This window comes from Homo sapiens, chromosome 11 (genome assembly GCF_000001405.40).
Source record: "Homo sapiens chromosome 11, GRCh38.p14 Primary Assembly".
Classification (NCBI taxonomy): domain Eukaryota; kingdom Metazoa; phylum Chordata; class Mammalia; order Primates; family Hominidae; genus Homo; species Homo sapiens.
In genome coordinates, this window is record NC_000011.10 from 132,519,805 (window position 1) to 132,533,489 (window position 13,685).

The 13,685-nt window shown below is 38.4% G+C and overlaps 1 protein-coding gene and 1 pseudogene across 8 annotated transcripts in view; one reads left to right on the forward strand and one right to left on the reverse strand.

Annotated features, from left to right (window-relative positions):
• Positions 1 to 13,685, reverse strand: part of OPCML (opioid binding protein/cell adhesion molecule like) — a 1,117,521-nt gene that overhangs the window by 104,824 nt on the left and 999,012 nt on the right. For all 8 annotated transcript variants that reach the window (NM_001319104.4, XM_006718846.4, NM_001012393.5 and 5 more), the window contains one exon: positions 9,257 to 9,382. In NM_001319104.4, coding sequence (NP_001306033.1) covers positions 9,257 to 9,382 — 126 coding nt within the window. The remainder of the gene's footprint in view (positions 1 to 9,256; positions 9,383 to 13,685) is intronic.
• On the forward strand, positions 6,005 to 6,083 carry LOC124902819 (uncharacterized; annotated as a pseudogene).

Here is a 13,685-nt window from a genome sequence, read left to right on the forward strand (position 1 = left end):
AAACATGACTTCAGATTAGAAACAAGGCTCCTAGCTGCCTTGGAGAGAGACAAAGAAGTAGTAGCAAGACTGGATGATGCAGCAGGTCAACTAATAGGCAATTCCTATTAGTGGCTGGAACTGTTACCTGGGATGGCTTAGAAGAGAAATGACGTTGGGAAGTCTCAGCAGGTTTATTTTAATTGACACAGAGGAACAACAGGGACCTACAGCGGACAATGGCATGAATGTGGCTTTGATTTGGAGGCTGTGCTTTTGTTAGAACAATACTGAGTGGAAGCTAGAAAGAGACTAGACATAGGAAGGTAGGTGTGGACTTAGGAAAGGCAAGGCAAGAGTATGGGTGATGTTCAAAGCTAGTGAGCACCCTTGGGTGCCCCAGATAACAAGCAGAATTTGATTCAATATATCATTTTACATTATACCTATTCCAACCTCAAGCTATGGAAGCCATCTTTGTATAATATAAAGAGCTCCAGACTTGAAAATCAGGAACTAGGTTCTTTTCATAAAGCTACCATTTTAGTTAGCTGTGATTCATTTGTCATTACTTAACCTTTCCATCTGTTTCCCTCCCTGTGAAATAGACAAATTATTCTTTCTCTGACCTATTTTAGGGAGCTGCTATAAACCCACTTGAGATGATTCATGTGAAAATATTTTAGAAACAACAAATTCTTATATAAGCATATATAGGAATAGGTTGTTAATGGAATACTAGAGACTCATTTTCCTTGTATTTCTATTTTTTTAATTGTTTCATTGGAAATAATTGTCGATCCACAGGAAGTTGCAAAAATGGTAGAGATAGGTACCCAGTACTATCACCCATCTCCCCCAATGGTGTCATCTTATGTAACTAAATATATATGTGTGTGTGTGTGTGTGTGTGTGTGTGTATGCATATAGTATTATATATAAAGTTGTATTTATAAAGTTGTATGTGACACATTTTCTTTATCCAGTCTATCATTGATGGGCATTTGGGTTGGTTCCAAGTCTTTGCTATTGTAAATAGTGCTGCAATAAACATATGTGTGGATGTGTCTTTATAGTAGAATGATTTATAATCCTTTAGGTATATACCAAATACCATTACCCAGTAATGAGATTGCTGGGTCAAATGGTATTCCTGGTTCCAGATCCTTGAGGAATCGCCATGGTCTTCCACAATGGTTGAACTAATTAATACTCCCACCAACAGTGTGAAAGCATTCCTATTTCTCCACAACCATTCATTGTTTCCTGAATTTTTAATAATTGCCATTCTGACTGGCATGAGATGGTATCTCATTGTGATTTTGATTTGCATTTCTCTAGTGATCTGTGATGATGAGCTTTTTTTCATGTTTTTTGGCCACATAAATGTCTTCTTTTCAGAAGTATCTGTTCATATCCTTTGCCCACTTTTTGATAGGACTGTTTTTTTATCTTGTAAATTTCTTTAAGTTCCTTATAGATTCCTGATATTTGATCTTTGTCAGATGAGTAGATTGCAAAAAGTTTCTCCCATTCTGTAGATTGCCTGTTCACTCTGATGCTGGTTTATTTTGCTGTGCAGAAGCTCTTTAGTTTAATTAGATCCCATTTGTCAATTTTGGCTTTTCTTTCAATTGCTTTTGGTGTTTTAGTACACCACAGAATACTATGCAGCCATAAAAAAGAATGAGATCATGTCCTTTGCAGGGACATGGATGAAGCTGGAAGCCATCATTCTCAGCAAACTAACACAGGAACAGAAAACCAAATACTGCATGTTCTCTGGACACAGGGAGGAGAACAATACACACTGGGGCTTGTCGGGGTGTGAGGGGGAAGGGGAGCGTGAGCATTAAGACAAATACCTAATGCATGCTGGGCTCAAAACCTAGATGATGGGTTGATAGGTGCAGCAAACCACCATGGCACAAGTATACCTATGTAACAAACCTGCACATCCTGCACATTCCAGAACTTAAAGTAAATTAAAATTAAAATTAAAAATTAAAAATAAATAAAGTTATGAATAATTGCACTGTGGAGTTTACTTGGATTTCACTAGTTTTTGCATGTACTTATTTTTATGTCTTTGTGTATAGTTCGGCAACATTCAGTCACACATATAGAGTCATATAGGTACCATAACAATCAAGATACAGTACAGCTCCATCAACCCAAGGCAACTGCCTTCTGCTTCCCTTTCCTTTTGCCACTCTCACCACTGGCAACTGCTGGCCTGTTGTGCATATTTACAATTTTGACAACTCAAGAATGTTATAAAAGTGTAATCATACAATATGCAACCTTTTGAGACCAACTCTTCTTATTCATCACAATGCCTTTCAGGTCCATCCAAGTTGTCAAATGTAACAATAGTTCATTCCTTTGTATTGCTGTGTAGTATTTCATGGTGTGATTGTACCACAGTTTAACCATATACCCAATGAAGGACATTTGCCTTTTTGCCTATCACAAATAAAACTGCTATATCATTCCCACTCTACACTCAGGCCAAAGAAATGAATCAAAGACCTCTGGACTGTCAAGGAATAAGAGACAAAGACAAGAGGTAATAAAATAGTAAAAATTATCACTTTTCTCCCAAGGCTGCTGGCACATTCAATGAGTTAAAACACAAAAAATGTACAAAACAGGGCTGGGCATGCAGTATGCACTCATCATAATACCATCATAACAAGTACCCAGGCTATCTGTATGCTACATGGATTCAAAGAATGCATTCAAATGCAAATATGGCACAACTACAGTTCAGAAATAACTGTTGAGTTAGGATTCAACACTATTACCTGCTTTCCATTCATTCTCTCTTTTGATTCCTAAAATAAACTGATAAAGTTGTTCCCATTTTGCAGTAAAGGGTTTTGAGGATCAGTGAGATAAATCGACATTTCGAAAGTCACTCAGGGCGTTAACAACTCAGTCCAGATCTCATGCTTAGGTTGATAAGACTCTGAAGTCCATGTTCTGCCAATGGGCTAACACCACCATCCAACAGGGATCGATACCTATACACAAGTGCGGGTCAGTGCATCTTTTATTTGGAGTGCTAAGAACTTGGTGATTCCTTCTAAAACTTTCTCTTTAGGAATTTCTAGCATGAAAAATGAACGCTGTAGCAGAAACAGTCATGGATCAGTACTTTTTTGTTTGAGACAGAGTTTCGCTTTTATCACCCGGGTTGCAGTGAAATGGCCTGATCTCGGCTCACTGCAACCTCCGCCTCCTGGGTTCAAGCGATTCTCCTGCGTCAGCCTCCTGAGCAGTTGCAACTACAGGCGTGGTTGTAGAGATGGGGTTTCACCCTGCTGGCCAAGCTGATCTTGAACTCCTGACCTCAGGTGATCCGCCCATCTCAGCCTCCCAAAGTGCTCTGATTAAAGGCATGAGCCACCGCGCTCAGCTGATCAGTACATTTCTAACCTGAACATCTACCAGAGTGACTAGAAGACAAAACTGCCTAACCAGGTGATAACCATAGGTGGTGATTTTGCTAGTATTAGCTCTTTACTTCCATGGAATTCACTCATTTATCATCCTCATATATCTAGAACAAAGCCAAACATTATTTCCCCCAGACAGGTGTCATCAGTGCCATTGATCACATTCCTGAAAGCTAATGCCCTATACTCAGAGAAGGCCCTTTCCCACCACTAGTTCTTATTTAGGACTAATCAACTTAGTTTTATGGATTCTTGCTCAAGACAAATTAGAAGCAGATCAGAAGAAATGCGGCTGCTAAAAGACAGGTGCACTGACTTTAGGAAGAACTGACAAGTCTGATTGAATGGAAGAAAGAAAAAATACAGTAGCTATTTTTAAAAAGACACAAGAATTTAAACAGTATTGACAGTATTAAAGGGTCATATTCCTAGTTATCCCAGTCCCCAAATGCCAAGATACAATCGATATGTATAATCTTGATGTTACAATATAAAGATGAGGCTAAATGGCATTCACTAGACACAAATACACAAAGTACAACCTAATTCATGTTTTAAATGCTTTCATTAGAAATAACTTGAGTAAATGCATAAAAGAGTCAGCTTTGGTTACCTGGAAAATTCACTTGTATGAAATAGCTCATGCACTTGCTCCCTGAGATGTTACTGTATCTGAGTAGACTCCATGAGCAACTCATAGGTGAAGAGTTGTCATCTTAAAATCTCAGTGGAGGGGAGACAGGAAGGAAGCCTTTGTTATTTTTCCCAAACATCTAGCCTTTCCAAATATGTCATGGCAATGGAGCCAGGTGTGTGAGGCATCGCAGTGGACGACTATGGCATTGCAAGAGGGGACGACTACCCTCCTTAGAACACAACAGACTCCAGGATCTTCTGCCACTCCCATCCCTGCAACTTTTTCACATTACTCATGTGCCTAGAAGAGCCTGCCAGTTTATGCTGGCCCAGCTTCCCTTCTCTTGTCTTTCAGGAACGGGAAAGGAAGTAATTCTTGAAGTGCAGCTGATTCACAATGTATTCCAATACACCTTGCTTGCTTGTTTTGGGACCTGACTTTTTCCTTTGGAAAATTATTTGAGGCAGCAGCCTGTGTGATTCCATCATCATCCTACTTCCTGGGCCATGGGTCACTAAGTACAGATTTCCATATGTGTGAAGGCTGCTACACAAGTACCATACCCTCTAGCAGATCTATATAAATATTTTTAATAAGCCATTGGCTGCTATTGAAAAAATTAAGTATAGATTTTTGTATCTAAAGATCAAGAATGAATACACAGTCAAAAGTTCAGCAGTTTGCATAGAAACAGCAAAACCCCAAAGGGACGTTTGCATAGTGCTTTTCGTTATGTTCACAACACTTAATCATGATCCTGGTAACATCCAGCTTTCCTCAAAAGTGAGGCATGTGTCCTCAGAAAATGCCCAGGTTCTGGGAATCCTGGTACACTTTAAGTACTGCCAAGGAGATGAGAGGTCGACAGGGCTCCAGCAGCTTACGCAGTCTACAGAGTAGAAAAGCTGGGATGTCTTGGGATCCACCTTTGGAAACTTGGGGATGCTTCAAAACTTTTACCCTCCTTTGGTAAGAAGGATATGTCTTTGGTTTGTTTGTTTTTGTGAAACAAATATACCTGAAAAGCAAAGTTACTTCAAAGGGGTTCCCCAGAAACATCAATGATGGGAGTATTTACACCACCAACATGGGCAGAGGCTACCCAGACTCCTCTCATTCCCTTGCCTCCTCCCACTCCAATCAACTTTACTCACTTACCAGTGCAGCACTACCTGAAACCTTCACTCTTCAACCATTATCATCTCAGGTAGAGATCGCATTTCTGTATTTTGAGCTGTATTTTTTCCTTCATTATATCTGTCTACTTTTTATATTTCAGAGAATCCTCATAGTTTCTGATCCATCAAAGCTTACTATTATTTTTCTCCAATGTGATAATGGATTTATTTATTCATTTATTTTTACCTCTTTTCTGTAATTGTAAGGGGTGAACAGCATGTACTCATATTGCCATCTTAAACTGTAAGTGTGATTGTTACTATTTTTAATTTTTAATAACTGCTCATTAAAATATTTTTCTTAAATGAAGGCTGATTTACTTGTCCCTGTTTATAGATCCCCAAATTTAAATCATATATTTCAAATATTGCATTAGCTAACTCCTCCACCATAATCCTACTGGAATTTGAAAGAAAATGTCATTGCAACCTTTATTTCTTATTCTTCCATGTTGAATCCATCAACAAATTTTTCCAAAAAAATGCTGTTTGATGTTCAAGTTTTATTGAATGTACTTCTAATCTTTTAGAACAACTCCCTAATTGCAAGTGAGAAGGAGCATCCTTCTGAAAATAAATATTGGCAGTCACCCTGCAGATGCAAATTTTAAACTTACAAATACTTCATGTTCCAGAGCTTTTCTTTTTTATTATTATATTTTAAGTTCTGGGATACATGTGCAGAACATGCAGTTTTGTTACATAGGTATACACGTGCCATGGTGGTTTGCTGCACCCATCAACCCGTCACCTACATTAGGTATAAAATTGGAACGATACAGAGAAGATTAGCATGGCCCGTGCGCTTTTCAAAGGAAACAATTTTTTGGAGTTCAAATGCTTAAATGTCATTGAGAGAGGGAAGGGGGAAGACAATAGTGAAAATTAAGGATAACAAAGTTAAGGCCAAGCCTATGAGAAAACAAAGGCAACTTCAAAGTACAGCACAGCCTGTGAGATTTAAAGAAGAGAGGGATCATTTAAATTTAGGATTTTCCAGTGAGGCTAAATTGCAACTATTACACTCTGTAAAAGATTGGGAATATGAATGAATCTCCCTTATTTTAAAAGGAAAATCTTACCAGTGTACCATTATAATGAATTGTTTCAGGACATTTACACAAAGTTAAAATGCCTTTTAAATGATTTCCAAGCTTAGAGAACTGTGTGTTTAGGATCAAATAACTACATTCTGGGATTTCAAGCATTTATAAAGACATTTGATTTTACCAAATATATAAAAGTTAGACATAGTTTTGTATATAATATAAATCCAAAATTATCTCTAACTTTAGGCAAAATTATCATGGAACCCATGTCTTGGGGAACATTATTGCTCTGTTTATATTAAATTTGAGTTTTGCGATATCCCTTACATATACTTTAATACTCTCATTAATTTTACTTTATGATATAGAGACATTCTAGGTTTTAATAGCTGAGGTCTTTATACCAAGAATATTAGGCTAATTTATTAGCATTATCTTTCCCTATAACAAGGCAGGAGCAAAAATACGTGTTCTCAGTCCACAAAGTAAAAAGCAGCAAAAGATTGAATGATGCTCCTGGTAAAAGATCCAGTCTCTTATTTGATAAGTGCAATGACATAAATAATGTTCCAAATTAAGAAAAAAATTCAGATCATTATTGTCTACATTTCGGTATATTTATACTTCAAATTTAATTGCAATATAATTACCTACAATAAAATGCACTTTTTTTTACAGTTTTATTAGTTTTGACTAATTTTGACACCAACATAACCTTCAAGATACAGAACTTTTCCAACATCCCCCAGAATTTCTTGTGGCCCTTTGCCGTCACTTCTCCCCTAATCCCTACCCTAGGTAACCACTGACTTGACTTCTGCCATTCTAGATTAGTTTTTCCTATTATAGGATTTCATGCAAACAAATTCATACAGCATGTATTTTTTAATTTTTAGCTTAACTTCCTCAGCATGCCGTTTTTGAGATTTATCCATTTTGTTATGTGCACCAGTGGTTTGTTCCTGTTAATTGCTGAGTAGCAATCTGTTGTTAGAATATTCCACAATTAATCTATTTGCCTGTCAATGGTTATTTGGGTTATTCGTCGTTTACAGCTATTATTAATGAAGCTGCTAAAAACATTTGTGTACAATGTACATTTGTGAGCATATGCTTTCATTTATCTTGAATAAATGCCTAGGAGTGGAATTGCTGGGTCGTACGCTAAGTGTATGTTTAACTTTATAACAAAATGTGAAATTGTTTCCTATAGGGCTTATATGTTTTCACAGTTGCAGAGTTAATATATAAAGCTTCAGTTGATCCACATCCTCACCAACACTCGATATTATCAGCCTTTATAATTTTAGTCTTCCTAGGGATTATATAACGGTATCTCATCTTGGTTTGATTTTTATTTATATGATGAAGATGTTAGTCATATTTTTGTGTACTTATTTGCCATTCATATACTGTATCTTCTTTTGGAATTGCCCATTTTTTTTTTCAGTTTGAAGTGGAGTGTTAGAATTGTGTTGGAAGAATTCTTCATATACACTAGATGTAAATTTTTTGTCAAATATATGTACAAGAAATGTTTTTATCCAGTCTGTGTCTCCACCGAAGGTTTTTAATTTTGATGAAGGCTATGACGAGTTAAGTTACAAGCCTATAAAAATGATACCTTGAATTCCTAACCCCTGATTCCTCAGAATGTGACCTTATTTAGGAATAGGGTCTTTACAGAGGTAATCAAGTTAAAACGAAGTTACTCGTGTGGACACTGATATATTATGGCTTATATCCTTATTAAAAGGAACAACTTGGACACAGATGCATCTAGGAAGAGGGCCATGTGAAGATGAAGGCAGAGATCAGGGTAATATATTTACAAGTCAAGCAATGCCAGTGATTACCAGCAAACCATCAGCATCTAGGGGAAAGACGTGGAATGGATTCTCCCTCAGACTCTTGAAAGGAACCAACCCTGCTGATTCCTTGATCTCAGACATCTAGCCTCCAGAGAAGTGAGGAGATAAATTTCTGTTATTTAAATCACACAGTTTTGAGTATTTCAGTATTAATATGAATTTATCACTTTTCTTCTGTTACGGTTAGGGCTTTTCTTGTCCTGGCAAAGCTTTGTCTTTCTCAATATTACTAAGATTTACTCTTAAACTTTCTTGTAGATCAATATTATTTTTGAATGTTATGTAGCCATATTCCATACATTTTTCCTGCTTACTTGGTTTCATGTTTGAATGTTTAATGCCTGAGGAAGCTCTTGTTTCTTGTATAATTCCTAGACTTAATCACAGCTTTTAGTAACAGTGTAAATATTTCAAGTGGCTCTGTGCCCACCTCTTCAAGTTTGACTTGGGGCAAGTTTTATTTCCAAGAGGGCAAGCCCCACTGTCCTTCTGGTTCCCTTGCTATTAAGTTGGAAATGGTTTTAACTGATGTTTTCATACCAATTATTGAATGCTCAGCACAGTCATGCCCAAATGCACTTAACCATTTCCATCATCCTTCTTCCACTCAAGGTGAACTATTTATGGACATGTCAGACATGTGTGGCTCTGGATAAATGTCCTAAAAGTGCTGAAGCAAGGAGATCCTTTTACTCCTGGACGCACAATAATGCCAAAGTTCTCCATGGCCACGCTAATACTCTTGCACTCTACTTCCAGGAAGAACAAACCACCAACTGACCCACCTCTACTTTCAGAAATTCACATCTTCATTGGAAGTTATTCTTATGTCCTTTGTTCTTCATAGTTTGGAAAACAAAAGCCATCTAAGGCCATAAAAATGACTGACACCATCATTTAGCAAATTTCCTCTATGAATCCTTCTTTTGAAATGAAATAGCCAGCAATTGGTGCATATTGCCTGTTTGATTTTCTATGACTGGATTACAAAATGTTTTCTGATTCCTGAAGCTCTGTTGTGCATAAGAGCCAAGACTTTAACATACTACCTCTGAAAACGTCCTCCAGGTCAGCACCTTACCCTTGACTGACAGGTGTCTCCATGTCACAGTTGGCTCTGGTCTGCCAATAGCAAGACACAGCAGGGTCACACTGCTTCCCTCATTCACAGTGATGTCTGAGGAGATATTCATGATCTGAGGAGGAACTGTAAGGAAACAGGATAGAAGAAATACCTGAGAATAATTCTTTGCACTTAAAAGGAGGTGTTAGCCTACAAATTTTTGTATAGCATGTTTTTATAATAAATATTGTTTGCAGTAATAAATTTCAAGTTGCTTGATTTGCCAAGGATATGGCCATATACATTTACCTTGTATTTATGGTAGAAGGAGCTCTATATTATACCTTGGCGATAGCAGGAGGCAGATGTGGGAAGAGCGGTGGGAAGCAGAGGAATTGAGAGATGGTGTGACTGTTGATTGAAAGGCAAAATCAAAAATATTCACAAAGCCTTCCAAGAGCTCCTGTTTATCCCCATGTCTACTGTTTTTAGTGGAATCAGTGGCATAAGCTGATAACCATTAGGGAGCCCTGTCCTCAGCCTCAAGCCTTCCCCAACATTGCACTCAAAATGCTGATAACGCTGAGTTAGTTACTATTTTCTGAGTATCCCAGACCCTTTTAAAATCTTTGACCTTGAACAGGTTGTTCCATTGTGGAACTCTTTTATTTCTCACTTATTTTAACCTGAAAATCCCCAATCATCCCTTAAGACACATCCTTTAAAACTCAGTGAAATTTTCTGACTCTCTTGATAGAGTTGGAAAATCCTGGATCCAACCAGCAATGTGTGGGTGTCCTTACTGTTACTGTAACCATGAGATTGTACTCCAAATTGTATTTTTTAAATGGCATCATATCCTACTGGTTAGGAGCAGGGCTCTGGATTCAGATAGACCAGTGTTTTAATCAGTTTAATTCCTCACCTGCTACATGACCGTTAGCAAGGTGACCTGCCTTTGTCCCTTTGAGCTTTATTCTTCTCACTCAGGAAATGTGGATGATAATGGTAGCTAAACTCACTGTATTGTGAGGTTTAGGTGAAATAATGGCTTAGCAGAGTGACTGATATAAAGTAAGCACTCAATAAATGTTAGCTCCTAAGATGATGATGACAATGATCATGATGATGACAGAAAAAACATATTTCACAAACAACAGTTTTCCTCTCATGGGCCAGGACCATGCCCATGTACCCACAGCACTACAAAGCCTAAAATGACACTTGGTCTTACTCTCTCACCTCCAGGCCTTGATGCTCTTCAACTTAAAGGTCAGTATTGGAAAACTCCTAGATTCCTTCTCACCTCTTATTTATCATCACCACTGTCCTGGTTGTTTCTCACCAATTTTCACGGAGATAATTGCAATAGCCTCCCACCGTGAACCTTCCACCTGGTCTCTTTCCATTTTGGGGTCCCTCCAATCTATTCCCTACATGTAACCAGAGCAGTCTTTCCAAGTAATCATGGAAGCAAACTGCTGTCCTCCTTACTCCTTCACCCCAGAATGGCCTACCATGTTTGACAAACAAACCCTTCTGCATGACCTGAGCTCTCTGGAGTCGAACGCCCAAAACCACCGATGAACCTCATCTCAGGCCCCGTTTCCTCTAACACAGCACATGGCACACACTCTACCAGGTTTAACAAGCAAACAAACCCTTCTGCATGACCTGAGCTCTCTGGAGTCGAACCCCCAAACCCACTGACAAACCTCATCTCAGGCCCTGTTTCCTCTAACACAGTACATGGCACACACTGGCCCCTTGTCCTCTCCCAAATATTTTAAAAGCATCAGCACTCCTATAACTTTTCTATTCCTTGACTGTCTTTTCTTGATTCCCTACCTGAACAGATATGACTCATCTTTCAAAGGGTACCCCAACATCCTCTCTCCTCTGCCATTTGCCCTGACCTCTCCCCACATCCTGAAAGCAGAAGCAGCCATCTCTTCTGCTGCATTTTGTTTAGACCTGTCTCAGGAAGGGTATTGAACATGCTCTGTGTATGGCAGTTTATTGTCTTCTGACTGTCTTTGCACCTAGAGGATGAGGAGCTGGAGGGCAAGTGTGGAATCACACACATCTCTACTCCTCAGTGTAAATCACACAGGCTGACAATGGTACATGCTTAATTTCTCTTTGAAAGAAAGATCCAAAACAGATTGAAAAGAAGTCCCAAAACTAAGGGAGGTAAAGCTTTGAATGGAAGACTTTAGATACTCAAACCTTTCTTTCTAATTTTCTTTCAGATCCTCAAATAAAAGGAAGATAACACAGAGAGTGGAGGCTCCAAGCCTGCAGACATGCTGATTTATTTGTACTGCCAATTTAATTGTGAATTATTAATTACCAAACAGGTACAGTGCAAGTCAATTCCAAACCAACCTGAGTTGATGTCAAAGGAGAATTATGGCAAATGCTGAATTCAGACGATTTTGCAGCTTGGAGTTTTACGCTGCTGAGACCTTACAGGTAAGTCTTTTCAAGGAGAAGCCAAGAGTAAAAAGTAGAACATTTGAGCTCTTAAGGGAATCTACATTAGCAAATAAATAAAAATTGCCTAGCTTATAAATCTGCCATATTTGGGATTATTTCTGCATTAGGATTTGGCCTGAAATTTCAGTGCACATATTTTACCCAAATACATGCTGGGAAAAAAATAGTGTACATTCTAGCTACACTGCATTCTCTTGAGAAACATGTTCTACCCGTTTTTTTTTTTTCCTATATTTTCTAGCTTGTTAAAAAATAGTTCTGGGCTTAGAAATGTCAATACTTTTTTCACTTCTGTAAAGCAACAACTCGAGTGCAACTTCCAAAATATTCTCAGAATAACGTCGCTTCAGCTGGAAGTGTTCGGCCATCTGAAGTTTTTTGTCTTAATTTTTTTTCAGATCCTAGAGGCTCCCTGATAGTAAGTTACACACAGCTGGGGAAAGCACAGTCAGTGAATGGAGACAGCTATGGTGCCTCAGGATAGAACTCAGCACAGCCACCAACTCAGAACTGTTCTTTCCACAGACATCGTATCTCATGCGATAGTGTGAAGGATGCTGGATTAAGAGATATGTAAAATTCCATGGATGCTTAGCATGTCATCCTCATTGCTCAGGCGCTCAGTCAATGTCACCCATTAGGAAAGAGCTTCCTGAAGTGGGATCGCGAAGACTAACCAAGATGTTCCCTCTAAGCCCAGGTAGTGTTGTCTGCTTTCCTCTGTAGCTCCGTCATGTTCTCTGTCATTGTCTCCAAGGAGGAAAGATAAGTACAGTTTTAGGGTGTGGATCGCCAGCAGAAAAGGAAGTGCAGAGGATGAATTGGCAGAAAGGGAAGTTCTTTTCTTCTTAATTATGATATCCTTAGAAACTAACATTAATATGCAACTTTGTTGTTTTCAAATTGCTTGTTTATGGAGAGAAGATCCTTACAAATGGTGAGATAAATAGAATAAATATTCTCACTATTAATATTGAAGAAACTGAGGCATGGGGAGATAAATGGATCAAAATTACAGGGTTAGTAAATGAGAGCTCATCTCACTGCATTATGATTCCTCTTTGTTTATTGTTGATCAATTCCCCAAACACAGTATTTCCATCCAGAAGCGTTCATGCATTTGTGTGCTCTGCTTCAAATGCCTTCCCAGAGCATCTCCCCTCCCAGTACCTGCCATGAGGAACAAAACCATCCCATTCAAGTCAGCGCCCCTTGCACACTGCGGACCACAACAGGAGAAGCCCATCTTCACCGTCCTTGTTTCCCCAGGGCCATGCATGCTGCTTGCCAAGGAAGGTATTCAATACTTTTAACGTAAATTTAAATCTGAATTGAATTGGCAATATCACTACAACTCCACCCTTGTTTCCATGATGACTTTGTGAAGAAAGGAACACTTGGGGATAGCTTTTAAGTGCTTCTCCGTATTTTGGCAGATCTTTGTTTAATTTTTAGACAAGTATCTGTAGCAAATGAATCTATACATATTGCTACTGCTTGTAAATATACACATAAACATTAAGAAATGAATAATAACCTTATCTGAAATGCCCAAATTACTCAAAGAAAATGATAAGACCCACAGAGTTTAACTAAAGGATAATAAGTAGCACAGTGTGTTATCTGTGCAGACGCTATTGAGCCTTCCCTGCTGGTGCTGCAGGTATCTGCTTATCTTTCACTGATGGTGGTGTTTTACAATAGGGCCTTTGCATAGATTGTGCAGAGGGTTCAATGCACAACTACGGTAACTTCAAAATGTGGTCATTTTGGATAGATGACAGATGGGTAATAGCTAGGCAGAAGAAAGATCAATATAGATAGAAATATAGCAAGACAGATGATACATTGACAGAGGTTGGGTAAGTAGGTGGGTAGCTAGAAAGAGATAGATGATAGATAGATAAACGGACAGATAGACGGATAGACAAATAGATGACCAATAGAC